This window comes from Homo sapiens, chromosome 15 (assembly GCF_000001405.40).
Source record: "Homo sapiens chromosome 15, GRCh38.p14 Primary Assembly".
Taxonomy (NCBI): domain Eukaryota; kingdom Metazoa; phylum Chordata; class Mammalia; order Primates; family Hominidae; genus Homo; species Homo sapiens.
In genome coordinates, this window is record NC_000015.10 from 59,433,620 (window position 1) to 59,449,888 (window position 16,269).

General features: G+C 45.8%; 1 protein-coding gene across 14 annotated transcripts in view, besides 1 other annotated feature; it reads left to right on the forward strand.

The window, feature by feature from the left end:
• Window positions 1–16,269, forward strand: part of FAM81A (family with sequence similarity 81 member A) — a 125,575-nt gene that overhangs the window by 35,639 nt on the left and 73,667 nt on the right. For 2 of the 14 annotated variants that reach the window (XM_006720398.4, XM_011521247.3), the window contains exons 1-3: window positions 4,567–4,663; window positions 5,405–5,445; window positions 6,336–6,504. The exons of 3 other annotated variants lie outside the window; for them this stretch is intronic. The gene's annotated coding sequence lies outside the window, so the exon portion shown is untranslated. Of the gene's footprint in view, window positions 1–4,566; window positions 5,012–5,036; window positions 5,446–6,335; window positions 6,505–16,269 lie in introns of those variants that run through there. 9 more of the 14 variants (XM_011521250.3, XM_047432168.1, XM_011521249.3 and 6 more) reach the window with 6 other exon arrangements.
• Window positions 4,265–4,794: a silencer, noted in NCBI's record as "silent region_6490". NCBI's record gives its function as "represses an Ori minimal core promoter by ATAC-STARR-seq in GM12878 lymphoblastoid cells {active_cell/tissue: GM12878}" and the evidence as "EXISTENCE:reporter gene assay evidence [ECO:0000049][PMID:35858748]".

The following is a 16,269-nucleotide window of genomic DNA, read 5'->3' on the forward strand; positions in this document are numbered from 1 at the left end:
ATGAAAAATCTATAATTTCTATAAATAAAAGAGGAAAAAAGGAATTTTCTTAATTCTATTTTACTATTAGCAACAAAGAAACCGATAAAGAACAGCCATAAAGAGTGACGTATTGTGTTAATTGGTTATTAACCCAAGTTTTTAGTTGGTTATTCACAGAATAACGTCCCAAGGTCTGAACCCCACCTTTGTTCAATGTAAGATTTCTCTTATTCGGTGAAACATTTTATTTTTGAGACATAATACCTTTGGGACCTTTTGAGTCTCACTCTGTCACCCAGGCTGAAGTACAGTGGCGCGATCTAGGCTCACTACACCCTCTGCCTCCCAGGTTTGAAAAATTCTCGTGTCTCAGTGTCCCGAGTAGCTGGGATTACAGGCACCTGCCACCATGCCCGGCTAGCTTTTGCATTTTTAGTAGAGACGGGTTTCGCCATGTTGGCCAGGCTGGTCTTGAACTCCTAGCCTCAAGCTATCTGCCCATCTAGGCCTCCCAAAGTGCTGGGATTACAGGTGTGAGGCACCGTAACTGGCCCGATGAAACATTTTTGAAAAGGAAAATGGATATGGCAATAATGAAAGGAATGGTAGAATTTAGATTGAGTTACTCAGTGCAAAACGATGCATTGTGCTCTCCTTGTCTGCAGCCCTACAACTGTATATAAATATGCAGAGACTATTTTCCCTTATCTTAAAAACATCCACTGGCCACTACAGATCTCTATGGATATTATTTCTCACCTTCTTTACACTGCCGAACTTCTCTAAAGAGTGACCTACACCTTTCTTGCATTTCTACAGCATCCAGTCTTTTCTTAACCCACAGCAATCTGATAACTAAAAAACACTCCTGAGGGTCACCAGTGACTTTCTATTCACTAAATTTTCTTGGCTTTCTGCAGGACTTGTCCCCTGGAAACTTTCTGCCCTTGAGCCTTCTCATCTGTGTCTTCTCTGACACTGTCCTCACTCTTACATCTCTGGGTCTTCCTCATTGCTCCCTGTGGGAACCTTCTTTCTCCTGCTAGTTCCTACATATGACTGTTCCTTGTGGTCAAATTCTTTGGCACTCTATTATTGAGAATGAACAACGTGTAACACTCCTCCCAATGGATCTCGACAAACCACGGTTGAGAATTGCTGAGGACAAAACAAAGTGCTAACTCTTTATCCATCTGAAACTCACCACAGCCTTGGCCCAACTGCTTTCCAGCCTTCTTATAAACACCACGTTGACCTACACAAGCCCTTGACCTCTACCTACCTAGAGGAGCCTACTTACTATCCTTATAGATGTCGTGTGTATCTCATCTTCATGACTAATGGCAGTGCAGAGACAAAAGTAGAACCAGAGCTCAGCCGTGGAATAAATCACTTAAACAATTTCAGCCGGGCTTGGTGGCTTATGCCTGTAATCCCAGCACTTTGGGAGGCTGAGGCAGGTGGATCACGAGGTTAAGAGATGGAGGCCATCCTGGCCAACATGACAAGACCCCATCTCTACTAAAAATACAAAAATTAGCTGGGCGTGGTGGTGCATGTTTGTAGTCCCAGCTCCTCGGGAGGCTGAGGCGGGAGAATTGCTTGAACCCGGGAGGCAGAGGTTGCAGTGAGCCGAGATCACGCCACTGCACTCCAGCCTGGCGACAGAGCAAGACTCCGTCTCAAACAAACAAACAAGCAAACAAACAAAGCAAAACAAAAAAATTCCCACAGTGGACTGGGTGCAGTGGTTCACACCTGTAATCCCAGCACCTGGGGATGCCGAGGCCGGCGGATCACCTGAGGTCAGGAGTTCGAGACCAGCCTGGCCAACATGGCAAAACCCCCTCTCTACTAAAAATAAAAAAGTTAGCTGGGCATGGTGGCGTACGTCTGTAGTCCCAGCTACTCGGGAAGCTGAGACAGGAGAATCACCTGAACCCAGGAGGCAGAGGTTGCAGTGAGCCAAGATCGAGAGCCTCTGCATTCTAGCCTGGGTGACAGAGTGAGACTCTGTCTCAAAAGAAAGAAGAAAAATGAATTTCCATGGTGTCTAGCATAATATACTGAACAAATTATTTGTATTTAAATAACTGCTTTGTAAATAGTATTACAGCCATCAAGTATATAGAATTGTTCTCTTTGATAATTTTTTTGGTAATCCTTGCAGCATAAAATAATTTGTGATAAATCATGGCTTTTTAATTGAAGTAATGCAAGAAAATCTCCATCTCCTGTAATGAGTTACAATCAAAGTGATTCTGGAAAAAATGGATATTTCGTTGCAATTTAGCCTACAAAAATAGGGAAAGAGTTGGAAAGAAACTAGTGTAGGCTTAATCATTGTGCATTAAATTTTGTCCCCTTGGGATTCAAAACAAATCACTTAAGAAAAAAGATAAATAAGAAGTGGGAAGTCATGGGCCTGATTCAAGACCACTTTGAAAGCCCGGTTCTTACTGAGAAATTCATGTTTTGAAATAATTATTAATACAATTATTTGTCTTATTTGCTAACTGTTATGATTTTTAAAAAGGAAATGAAAGTCAGCCTAAATAGAAGGTGCCTACATATGGCAAGAGCCCCTCACCTTCCAGGTCCTCTCCTTCCCTACCTTTGAGAGTGAGGGAGTCTTGCAGCAAATGAAAAATCAAAGTTCAGTTTTGATGGCCAGAAGTAAGAAGGCACTTCCTCTGTTTTATAGGTGTTCCATTCTGAGGAATATTAGGATCTACTATCACTCTCCTAGGAAGCCAGGAAGGGGTGCCTTGAGGCTCTGGCACCTCAAGTAGTAGAGGGAGTAGGGTCAGTATTGGGGTGGGCGGGGAAAGGGTAGAGTAATAAGAAGAGGAAGAAACAAGACAGAGGGGACGTTATGTGTCCATCTGAGATGCTCTCCATATGCACTGAAAGGCACCCCGATGGAGACAGGCAAGAAATATTTTGAACCTTTTTCTAGACTCTTGGTGATGGACTCTAGGTTTGAATGGGTACTTTCTGCTAACACATGCACACCTTTCCAGATGTTGTGGCCAGTTACAGCCAGAAGGTCACTGGGAAGCAGAGTGACAGTGTCATCACCATGACATAGGATCCAATTCAATATGTATTTACCTAGTACATACCATGCACCAGGCAGTGGGAATCTAACCGAGAAAGGAAAGAATAATCATTGAGCTTTTGCAGCACTAAAGAGATGCTGTTATACCAGATCTACACATCACAAGACTCAAGGCCATTACTCTCCTGGTCACAACGGCAGTGTTAACATGTGTCTGTGATTATTTGATGAATGCTCGTCAGGCTCTAAGCTCTGTGGGATCAGAAAGTGATGTGTCTCTTTTTCATCTTCACCATTGTGTCTCAGGGCTAAGCATAGTTTCTAGCACTTGGCAGCCATCCAATAGATACTGTTGGCTGAATGAATGTTACAGATGCGTTAGCGCTTTGTGGAAGTTATTAGCCCGTTTTACTGGTGAGGAAACAGTCGCAGAATACCCACAAATATTTCAAAGATCACACACAAATAACAGTCCTTAATACTAATAGCCCCTAAATAATAATGCTGCCGGAGAGAGAATTCCAAAACCGCTCAGCCGAATCCACAGTTCGGGCTCTTCTACCATGTCGGGCTCCTTCCCCTGGGTTGGAAGGGCTCAGGCTGGGGCGGGGTGGGGGAGACAGACAGGAGCCCCTGTGCTGGGTAAGTACCAGTATCTGCGAAGGAGGCACGAACCAGATGAGGCAAAGGTCGTGTCCCCCGCAACTCCGCTGAAATCCTGCCCACCGAGAGGAAGCACAATTATGAGTGAATGGGCTTGTGCGTCCTGATGAGAATCCAAAATCGAGAGGAAGGTGGAAAGAGCCAGGACGCGCTGGGAGGGGATGAAGCTGACGGGAGAAGAAAGGGCTGGGAAGAGGAGGGGTGTTCGGGGTTCTTCTTCTCGTCGTGTCTGCTGCGATGAGACACGATCCTGGGTCCCAACTGCAGGTGTCAAGGCGATTCAGTAAATGACACATGGCAGCCCCGGAGGGTTCGTTCACCTGCACAGGTGGGGCGTCACCGTGGCCTAATCAAATAACTTCTCCCCAATTTGAGGTGGGGCGGGGGAGAGAACTATTTTTGTGGGAAAGCGGTTTAGTAAATAAGGTATATTGGGGCTCTAGAGAGAATTGCAGTGCCACCACCATGGCTATGATCTCCGTCAGGCACCATTTCAACACCTCTCCAAATCAACCATCCCTACAACAGGATTTATTTTCCAATGAGCGAAATCCCCGCCCGCCAACTCCAAGGCGCTTGGATGCGAGCTCTGTGGGAAACAGCAGCGACGAGCAGAGGCTATTTTGGGTGTGGGAACGAGGAGGGAGGAGGGGCGGCGCCGCCAGGCTGGGCGCGGGTGCGCGGGGAAAGCCTCCAGCTCGGGCTGCCACGGCAACCGCGTCCAGGCAACGCGCCCGGAAGCGGCTCCGGCGGCGCGCGGCGGCTCGCGCCCCCCGGGAGCCGCGAACCCGGCCGGGCCGCGCGCCGGGCCAGGCGGCAGGCGCGCGCTGATTGGACGGCGCTCCCCGCGGCGCGGGCCCGCAGCCGGGCGCCCTGCTCAGCCAGCGCCAGCGGCCGCCGCACCCAGCCGCGCCGGCGAGGACATGGGCAGCCGCGGCGCGCCCACCCCCCGCGCCGGTGAGTGCCGCGCTCTGGGAACCCCGGCCGGGCGGCCTCTGGGGCTGGGCGGCGGGAGCTCTCTGGGACGGCCGGTGACCTTGGGGCAGCCTCTCAGGAGATAGGCGTGGGGTAGAGAGAGCTGCGCGTGGCCCATGTGACATGCCGCGGGCGAGAGGGTTAACTGCATGTGACGCGAAGGGCTGAAGTTGGGCACAGAGCGCAACTGGCGTTGCATTTTCGCGGGGGCTGCATGCTAGCGAACCAACCGACGCCCGGAGGGACTGTTTGGGGGAGCTGGGGTGGTGCACGGATTGCCAGGGGTAAAGGCGAGTCAGCCGACCCACTACTCAGAGTGAGTGACCTTGGGTAGGTTAACCATCTGCTCTTCCGCCCCTTCGCTTTTTCTCATCTTTCAAACGAGAGGCTAGGGGGTCTTTGCAGTTCCAGAATGCTGTTGTGCCATCCTACTGCGAGCTGAGAAAGAGCCCTAAAGTACGGTTCTGCAGGTACCGGAGATGCAAAGCTTAACCATGTTTATTCTAGGAGGGGTTTCCATTAATTGGCTCCTAAAGTGGTAAGAAATGTTATCGTTGTCTGGAAGATTATGGAGCAAGCAGTCGGTGGTCCGGAGAATGGCTTCTTAAGATGCACAGGTTAAAACCTCTTTGGTGCCCTAAAGACATGAACAAAATCAGGATTAATGCTCCTAAGTTCTTCTTTCCTGTAGTTAATCTAATAGGAAACTTTGTATTTGAACAGGTAAAATCAAAACCCAATCGTGGCAGGCAGCAGCAAATTAAGTGAGTCATTTCTTCAATGTGCACGAGGTTTATGTGTGTGTGTGCGCGCGTGTGTGTGTGTGCGTGTGTGCGCGTGCGCTCTCGTCCTCAGCTCAAAGTCTGCGTACGGCAGTGTTGGAAATTATTTCATAGGAGTAACCAGAAATAATGCTAGAATGATTCGAATCCACAAAAGTGCAGCTCTCTCAGAAGCAAGGGCAAACATTTGCAACTTGCTTTTAAAATAAGAGGTTTGTAGAGTAAATATATTCTTTATTGAGAACCATCCCCAGATTTGCACATTGTATCTGCCTTCTGGGCCCTGTCACTGAATGCGCGTGTGTGTATGTGTGTGTGTGTGTGTTGGGGGGGGCGGGTTCCTTGGCACTTATAATATTTTTAGCGTTGACTGGTACTAAAAAGGACACTTAGGCCCCCTTCCATATCCACTGTCTATAAACTTCCCTCTTCCACGGAGGGGAATGGAGGACGTACCCTCTCACAGGTACCCCTGGTTGCCCCTTCTGACTTTCTACTTAAAGCTACCCTTGATTTTCATTCGAATCTGATTTCATCTGTATAAGAACGTGGGTTGGGAAGACACAGTTTCCAATGCTAATGAATAAGCTTCTGCAAGCTTGTTTACCTGAGGGCTTAATAACCTTTAATGTGTTACATGTTAGAAATCTGATAGCATACGGATAGAAAAATACTTAGTGTCCAGGAATTCAACCATGAAGCCCTACCAACCATTTAATGAGCCACACTACATGGTGCTTGGAAACGTTATTAGCGCATTATTCAGCCTCCTCTCTCTGCAGGCCACTAGGCTGTGTCACTCCGACCTGGCTTTAAATGTCTTGTTTCTTGTATCCTGCAGCCACACTCTTGCATTTTCATTTTTTATGTAGCTGAACCCACCTTCTCTCCCGAGCACCAGAGCCTGAGTGAACAACTTGCCGCAGAAGAGCCTTCTCTAGTGTCCTCCACCGTCTCACCAGAGTAGGGATGCTCTTCCGCTTCTCCTTAGTGCTGCCTCCAAACCAATGCACCATCACCAACCAAGTCTCCTCTCGGAAGGTAGTGCTATCTGCTTGTGCCCCTACCCTCCTTCTTATCTTCTGGTCCAGTGCTTCCCAAACCTGGGGGCTCCTCAGAATCACCTGGGACATTTTGAAAAACTTGGTCTTTAGACTCTCTCAGATATACCAAATTAGAATCATTGGGGGCTGGGGCAGGGTGGGGGAGTAAGACCTAAAAATCCCTACTTTAAAAACAAACCCCAAAAGGAGGAGCAGCAGGAGACGATGAAGAGAAGGAACAGAACTCTCTGGGCAATTCTGATGTACACCCAGGTACAGTGGGGATCTCTTCACTTGATGCCCCAAAAAAGGGATAAACAAACAAAAAACGTGAGCAGCCAGCTTCATTCTCTTCTCTGCTTTGTCTCTTGCCAGTGACTTTGGGTTTTGTGTTGAAGCTCTCTTAATTCTTTGACCTTGAAGTTCCTCAACATCTATCCCAGTAGCCTCAGTTTCCACTTTGCTTCAACTAACATCTTGGACTTGTTCAGTCTTGAACAAGACTAAACCTTTGAGATCTTGAACTCGGACTTCAGCCTACTTAGCTGATACTACCCACATACTGCTCTGGATTTTAACCATCGCTGAGGACCCTGGTCCCTTAAGCACTTGCTGTTCCAATCCTTCAGCCCCTCTGTGACTCTGTTTCTCCACTTGGGGCATGTAAGTTGCTGGCCATTTCCATTCTGTCTGGGATCCCAGAATCCTTTGTTTCAATGTGTTGGGCTTCTTATATTTCAGTCCTCAATCCAAAATCACCCCCGCTTGCCTGCTTATTCTTCTCCCAGCCTGCCACATTATCTAGGAGGAAGTCACAAAGACCTTTGGACAGGTTCCATTGAAAATTTACGTTGGCTCTAATTTCACCAGATAAATTCCCACTTTACCTTCCTCAAGGCCCCCAAGCATCTTTCTCTTCCTCTCTTTGTCCTTCTTTATTTCGTCTTTCTCAAAGGAAGAAAATGTCTACAAGTCCCTTCCCCAAGGTTAATCCACATGCAATCCACACTCTTCATTCTCTGGACTTGATTCCTTCCTTCTCACCTCTTTTGGGAACTGGCTGCATTTGTTATTCCTCTTCTCCAGTGTCTTTGGTCCTTCCCTACTCTGCCCCAACCCTTACTCCACCATATGGGTCATCCTTCCCATAAGAAACTCTGGTGGGGTCCTCGCTCTGTCCAGTAGAATTTTCTGCGGTGAGAAAAATATTTTATATCTGCACTGTTCCGTATGGTAGTCACTGCCCACATGTGGCTCTTAAGCACACGAAGTGTGGCTAGTATGACTGAGGAACCAAGTTTTCCATTTTAGTAAATTCTAAACTAACTTAAATCCAATTGAAGTAGTCACATAGGGCCAATGGCTATCGTATGGGGTAGCACTGTTTTTGACCCTGCTACTCTGTTGAACTGTCCTCAGGTTCTCTTCTTTGTCCACTCACCTATTCTGGTTTCACCCTCATCTTTCTGTTGAAACTGCTTCCTCAGAGGGCTCTGGCATAGGTGTCCTGGCTGCAGATCTGAGGCCTTTGCCCTGGCTTTCCCTTCCTTGGTCCCTGCCCTGCGTCTCCTGGCAGCAGTCAGCCCTTTGCGCCTCTGTATCTCCCTGTCTCCATGACACTGGTTGTCCAGGCCCACTCGAACCTCATTTGTTTCCTTTTTCTTCCTGGCATGTAGACACGGGGATGCTGTGAGATCCTGTCCTTGGTCTTTCCTTTCCTTTTCCTCCTCCCTTCCCCCTGCCCCAGCCTCACCTCTGAGCCCGCAGTAGTATTTAAAGAGCACTGGGCACTTTCCCCGCGCCTCACTGGGCGCCCTCGCCCACTTGTACTACTTCCTCTAATCCTCACTCCAACTCTGTGAGGCAGAGACTCTGATTACTCCCGTTATGTAGGTGCAGAAATTGAAATGGAGGGAGATTTGAATAACTTAAAGAAAACACTGCTTTCAAGGAGCAGACCTGGGAAAGGGACTCCACCAGTCTGACCTTAGAGCCCCACTTTTAACCCTGTTTACCCAGGGCCCCCAGGTACTTCAAATCTATATTTTGGGCCCTGAGCTGTTGCCCACATTTCACTCAGAATGTAATACTCAGAAGCCTGACTGCTTTGTCTCTACCTTGTCTTCCTGGCTTCTGTAATCATTTTTCCCCTTTTTAAACCTTTTACTTTGAATAATTCAAATTTATAGAAAAGTTGCAATAACTGGCCAGGTACAGTGGCTCATGCTTGTAATCCCAGCACTTTGGGAGGCCAAGGCGGGTGTATCACCTGAGGTCAGGAGTTCCAGACCAGCCTGGCTAACATATAGTGAAACCCCATCTCTACTAAAAAAATACAAAAATTAGCTGGGCATGGTGGTGAGCGCCTGTAATCCCAGCTACTCAGGAGGCTGAGGCAGGAGAATTGCTTGAACCCAGAAGGTGGAGGTTGCAGTGAGCTGAGATCGCGCCACTGCACTCCAGCCTGGGCGACAGAGCGAGACTCCGTCTCTCAAAAAAAAAAAAAAAAAAAAAAGAAAAGAAAAGAAAAAGAAAAGTCGCAATAATTAAAATAATTCCCAACATACCTTTCAACCAAATTCTCTAAATATTAATTTTTACCACACTTGTTTTACCTTTCTCGCTCTATCCTATTCTCTCATTCTCTCTCTGTGTGTCTGTGTATCTGTGTGTTTATTCACACACATATGTATGAACACACATATGTATACACACACACAAGTGCATATGTTGTCATTTTCCCTGAACCATTTTAGAGTGAGTTGTAGACATGATACACCTTTGTCCACCTAAATACTCGTGTATATTTCCTTTTAAAAAGGACATTTTCTTGTATAAGTGCCAAAATCAGAAAATTAGCATTAAGAGCTATTATCTAATCAACAGGCCTTATTCATGTATCATCTATTGACCTAATAATGTCCTTCATGGCAAAAGAGGAGAAAAAAAGATCTTTATTGTTTTATTTTGTTTTTGAAATGGAGTCTTGCTCGGTTGCCCAGGGCGGAACGCAATGGCACAATCTCGGCTCACTGCAGCCTCCGCCTCCCTGGTTCAAGCAATTCTCCTGCCTCAGCCTCCCGAGTAGCTGGGATTACAGGCACCCACCATCATGCCTGGCTAACTTTTGTAATTTTGTAGAGACAGTGTTTCACCACGTTGGCCAGGCTGGTCTTGAACTCCTGACCTCAGGTGATCTGCCTGCCTTGGCCTCCCAAAATGCTGGGATTATGGGTATGAGCCACTGCACCTGGCCAAAAAGATCTTTTAAAAAAAAGATGTTTTCTGGTCCAGGATCCAGTCCAGGATGTGTTACATTCCTTGTCATGCCTCTTTCATTTCCTCTAATCTGGGACCGTTTCCCAGTCATTCTGTCTCTCGTGAACCTTGACACGTTTGAAGGGTGCAGGTCAGTTATGTAGTAGAATGCCCTGTAGCTTGGCCTTGTCTGATGTTTCTCATGAGTAGTGGAGTGTGTCCCTTTCAGTGCATTCCTTGATGACGTTAGTGCCATCATCCTCTTCTCTGTAACCAGAGCTTGAACACCTGGGGTTATTCTGACTTTCTGTTCCTTGCACTCCCACATCCAGACAGTCATTGAGTCAAGTTGAGGTGTCCCCTGCACAGTCTCCCTCCATTCGTCCTTTCCTTTCTGTGCCTACTGTCTCTCTCCTGTTTGGGGCAGTTATGGAGTGAAGGCCTGTGCACACTGGCCTCAATCGACTGTTCCAGCCTAATTGGCCGCTGCTTAGCAACAGGAACCCAAGGGTCCCATAGTCCTCACCAATCAGCATTTCCTCTGCTTTGCCCCGTCTCCACCCCTTCTCATGCTGCTCTGAATTCACATCATTTACCCCTTTGAATATCAGACTCAAATGCCTGCTCCTCAAGTGCTTTTCCTGATGGCCCAGTTCAAACTGATCCTGCCTTCTGCCCAGTGGCACTGACCAGCCCCTCCATTCTTGCACGGTGGCTTGCTAGTGTTATTTCCCTGCATAATGGGAGTTCCTGCAGCGCAGGGGCTGTGTCTTGTTCAGCACTGTAGAGGCTCAATGAATATTTGTTGACTGGACTAAATTATTTGATGAAATCATTAAGCAAGTGCACAGAATAACCGTGGAGCTGTCTGCTAGCACGTGGTGTGCGATGGTGGATGTGAGACCCATGCCTTACCCGAAGAGTCAGGTGGGTGTTGGCTCAAAATAGGATCTTTTTAGTAAAACCGTGGATAATTTGAGAAGGCATTTTCATGTTGTAAGTGGAAAAAATGATTCTTCCCTGATGACATCTTAACGTCGTGTGTATGTGTCAAGACAAAGAAAGAGCATATTTGATTTTTCAAAAAAAGAGTAGAGAAACTAACATAGCATATTAAAAATGGCCCATCTAGTTCTTCACACGCCAAATGAGCAGCTGAATGTGAGAGGAGTAGTTTCTCCAGCTCCCTTCCTCCCTGGGAGACCTGGAGCCACCTGCCTCCTCTGGCTGTCTGGCCTCCTCTCTCTCCTCTGCTGTCCTTCAGCACTGCCTCCCCACTCTACTCACTGTTTCTCTCCTCCCGTATTTCACTCTTTCTGTCTGTTACTCTCTCTTAGTAACTCTTCTACTGTCCTCCCTCTCCCTATTGACTGTTTTATTTTATTTTTTGACTTATTGGATGTGGTTTTATGTTCCATGAGTTTTTCCATATAAAAGCAGGTGATTTTTGCAAAAAGAGAAAACCCAATTGCTTTTTATGCCTTGGTGGTCTTTTGTCGACTCCTTCCATAGCTCAGTGGTTCTTGTTATTTTAAAAATGTAGCTATCAGTGATAATAAAATGGTTTATCGGAAGGAACATAATTACCTCTTTCTGGTCCACCAGGAAAATTACTAGGAATGTGCTGGTTGATAAATATCAAAAAGCCTAAAATTTTCAGTTGCTACCAAGGGAACATTGGTACTTGAGGTTGAAAGTCAGATTTCAGTGTGGTGAAAACTCAGATTTCCGGGTGGCGAGCTGCTGAGCTTACTGGGAACTTCAGTCTTCCTCCCTGAAGGTGTCTGCGTTTGCTGACTGGTTGTCACCCCCTGCCCCACTTCAGAACGCGTTTGTGAAGAAGACATTCTCTCTGGATGAAGCAACTACAGAAGTGCAGGCAAGACATTGTGCTGCCGTCGCTGAGTGTGGCTTAAATAAAAAGCATGTTTATGTGGGAGAGAATGTGTGGGGGTTGCTTTCGCATTATGGAATTCTTAAAATTGTTGAACCGGGAAGATGTTATTCAGAAACCCCTGGTGGCTTCAGCTTGCTTTTTGTGTATTTCAGGTTTCTTTTTTCCCCCATTTTTAATTATCTCTGGAAAAACTCAAGAGTCCTCCCCTGCTCCTAAAATAGTTATAAAATTAATGTGCTGTACTCAAGTCGTTACTCCACGTAAAAGAGTAAAAGACTCCCATATTAAGCAGAGAAGTCCAGCCTCCTCTCTCTGAGTGTGTGAAAAAGGGCATAGACTGGAGACTGGATCTTTCTTCTAAGCCTAAATTCTTAGCTTTTCAGCCAGCGATTTATAGATGGTAGAACCAAAAGTCACCACCAGCATTCTGTCTGTATGAGAGCACACAGAATCGTGCTTTCCCCTGCTAGTTTAGTAGGTAGAGAGTTTACATGGGCTTTTAATAATATTTTTTCTCTTCTAGCTGTTGCACTTGGCAGGTTCCTTTTTTAACATTTGGTAATGTATCTTTTCTAATGCTAGAAAGAAAAGTTGCCAAATATTGCTGTTGATCATAATAAAACACCCTAAAAGTAATGACTTCTTTTTGGGTGTGAGTGCCCGGGCCCACTGCAGGGTGACCTCCAGCCTTCCGCCGAGCTCACAGCTGGAAGGGCACCTTCAGTCAGCAATCGATATGTCATTTGGGTAGAGCAACTCAACAATGAAAACAGTGGGTCTTCCCAAATTAGAAAAACAAAAAGGTGAATGAACAAATATGTATGAGTGTCCGTGAAGAGGCGTCGTGTTAGGCTTCGTGGAGATTACAGGTTCATGTAGGATGTGGTTTCCGCTGCCCTACGGCAGCTCAGCTGGGGAGACATAATCCAGAAAGGTTCAAATAACAATAGAAGATTTAAATAGCATTTCAAAATAGCTGTTATTAATAGAGGAGAACAAAAACCAATCTGTTTTTGCAAGGGTTCTCCTAAAAATGTTAACATCATTCTAAGCTGTGGAGAGTGGATTGAACATCAGAGACCAGTCATTGGGTTCTAGAGGTCTGTCTGTAAATCTGTCTGGATCTGACAGAGGCCATGTGTGTATTGCAGATTGGCCGCCTCCCTTCAGTTATGCAGAAATCTCTGCACTGGCTGGAAGAGCACTGTCAAATGTTGTAAGCATTCTAAAGTTCACCTTTGTGGGTCAGAAACACATCACCCCTCACCCTTCTACCTCCAACAGAATTCCCTTTATGAATGTGATAGAATGGAGGGGAAAGAATGCAAGTCTTGCTAAGTGGACTCAAGGCCATTTTCACAAAGAGCACTGAAAATATCTGCTCTGGGACCCCATGGAGGGACTTGCAGTTTTCCTGGAACCTCGAGTTTTTGGAATACTGTGCTGGCATCACTCCAGAATCACTGGACCTGTACAACATGCTGATTCCCTGATGCACAGGCGATCCAGGCTTCATTCCCAGCTTTGATGAGAGCACCAGCCTCAAGCCTTGTTCTGTGCCCACAAGGAAATGAAAGTAAAAATTGATAGCAAACTTCTTTTAACTAAACCATAGTCTTTAAAGCCCAGAATCAGGCTTGTTTCTTGGTTTTGGTAGCTGTAAATGAGCAATTTATGCTTTTTGTTGTTATTGTCATTCACTGGTTCATTCTTTTCTTCAAGAAGGTTTTATTTAAATTTGTGTAATTGTGAAAATAGCACACTTGTTAAAGTATTTTGAAAATAAGGAAAAGCAGAATAAAAATGTACCCAGTGCCACTATTTACATTTCAGTTTATTTCTTTCCACTGTTTTAAAAGATATGACTATACTAATACTTCTAGTCCTAGAATCCTTGCCTCACCCTCTCCAAGATGGTTGTAGGATTTCTGGGTTGCTGAGGTAATGTACAGTTGAAAAAATGTCAAGATGTGTCAGGTAAGCTATATCTGCTGTTGGCCTAAGGACAGATATTTTGGTGTAAGGATGCCTAATGTCTTAGAGACCGTGTAAGACCTCGATGACTTACCCAGCTTTCCCCAGATCGGCCTCACAACCATAATGCCATGTGCGTTCCTCAATGTGCTAGCCCAGTATATTTCTTCCAAGGACTGCTCAGCTGTTCTAAAAAATTCTGGTCAGGGGTGGTGAGAGATGAGCTGCCTATGAAGGAGACAGAGTGTGCTTATTTGCACTGTTTTCATTTCCTTTGCACATAATTTGGAGGCACTTCCTCAATTGGGACAGTGTGGTTAATTTGTGGAAAGCTCCTGCTATTAGCATTGGTCTTTCCTTTGGCCTTGTCAATCTAGATACATTGGCTTGGGAAATTAGGCATGCTGACCTCAGTTGCACAGCCCTCTTCCTCCTTCTTTTACCAAAGCACATGATTTAGCCAGATAACAACTATCCACACCACAGAGATAATTCCAGCAATTTGGCAGGGGGAAAGTTGGTAGGAGGATGAGTGAAGGGAGGGGAGGGGAAAACAGCATTAAAGGTAGCCTCAAGACCATGGAGGCATCTAGGCATGAAGGGAGGAGGCCTCAGATACAGGAGCGAAGGAAGGCAGATAATTGGTGGCCTGGGCACTCAGCAGGGCAGTGGTTGCCTTCTCCTTGACTTTGAGTCTCCTGCCTCATCCATCTTTGCTGGCCCATGGTCAAGCAGTCTTCTCACTGTGGGGAGAAAGGGAAGAGGGAGGAGCAAGAGGAGTAGGATGTGGTAATGGTGGCAGTGGTAGTGGTAGTAGATAACTTCAACATTTGCAGGGTTGGCTGGGAGTGGTGGCTCAGGCCTGTAATCCCAGCATTTTGGGAGTCCTAGGTGGGCAGATCATGTGAGGTCAGGCTTTTGAGACCACCATGGACAACATGGCGAAACCCCGCCTCTACTAAAAATACAAAAATTAGCTGTGTGTGGTGGCATGCACCTGTAATCCCAGATACTCAGGAGGCTGAGGCAGGAGAATCACTTGAACCCGGGAGGTAGATGTTGCAGTGGGTGGAGATTGTGCCACAGCACTCCAGCCTGGGCCACTGAGTGAGACTCTGCCTGAAAAAAAAGAAATTGCAGTGTCCTTTAAACTCATGAGTCAAAATGTTTGCACCATCTAAACTGTGGTGCCTTGGAGCAAAGTGCTGGCTTCCAGGCCCTGGTTGTAGTTCTAAATAATGTGTACTATTGTGCATTGTAGAATGTTTAGTAAGATAGATAGATAGGTAGATAGATAGATAGATAAAGCATACTATAAATCCACCTTGGTGGGTTTTTTTTTTCTTTTTTACCTTAACATTATATAGCAAGGACATAAATACATAAATATATTCTTAGCTGTTATTTTTTGTTTTTTAGTTTTTTTAGAGACAAGATCTAGCTAGCTCTGTTGCCCAAGCTGGAGTGCAGTGTCATGCAGTGTTGAACTCCTGGGCTCAAGCAATCCTGTTGCCTTAGGCTCCTGAGTATCTTGGACTACAGCTGTTCGCCACCATGCCTGGCTAATTTATTTTTTATTGTTATTTTGTTGTAGAGACGGGGGCATTGCTATGTTGCACAGGCTGGTCTTGAACTCCTGGCCTGAAATGATCATCCTACTTCAGCCTCTAAAAATGTTGGGATTACAGACATGTAATCCATCATGCCTGGCCAGCTATTGATATTCTTTTGAGTGGATGTGCTGTGTTCTAACTAACTGCTCTTCTATTGTTGGACATTTATCCAATAGCCATTTATAGAAATGTTGCTATCTAGTTAAGATCACATAGTATTAAGTATGGATAAAATGCTTTAAGAGTAGAGATTTCATGGAGATTAGTTACTTTTGCCATGGAATTCCAATTTCATGGTCCTAGAATGCTTAGGGCAAGAGTGAGTTCTGTACATGCCCTGGAGAGTCTAACAATTTGACTCCCCTTTGAACTCTTGGTTTACATATTTTTTTTAAGTGGGGGCAAGAAGAAGTAATTTATTTCTTTTAAATTGATACAGTGAAAAATTAAGTTTAAGAAGTAAAAGATATGTTTAGTCAAAGCCCCAAGTATTTTACCTATTCCTCTCTATTTCTCACTTAGAAAGAAATATGACCCTGATTTGGTATTTGTCATTTCCACATTCATCTTGAGATGTTACAGATTTGGCATATTATTTGGCATGTTTTAAACCTTTAAAAAATGACATTGTAGGCCGGGCACGGTGGCTCACGCCTGTAATCCCAGCACTTTGGGAGGCCAAGGCGGGCGGATCACGAGGTCAGGAGATCGAGACCATCCTGGCTAACACAGTGAAACCCCGTCTCTACTAAAAAACACAAAAAATTAGCCGGGCGTGGTGGCGGGCGCCTGTAGTCCCAGCTACGCGGGAGGCTGAGGCAGGAGAATGGCGTGAACCCGGGAAGCGGAGCTTGCAGTGAGCCGAGATCGCGCCACTGCACTCCAGCCTGGGCGACAGAGCGAGACTCTGTCTCAAAAAAAAAAAAAAAAAAAAAAAAAAAAAATGACATTGTATAGTGTTCTTATCCTTCTTCAGCTTACTTTTTTCACTTAATATATTTGTGAGATTCATTCACATTGG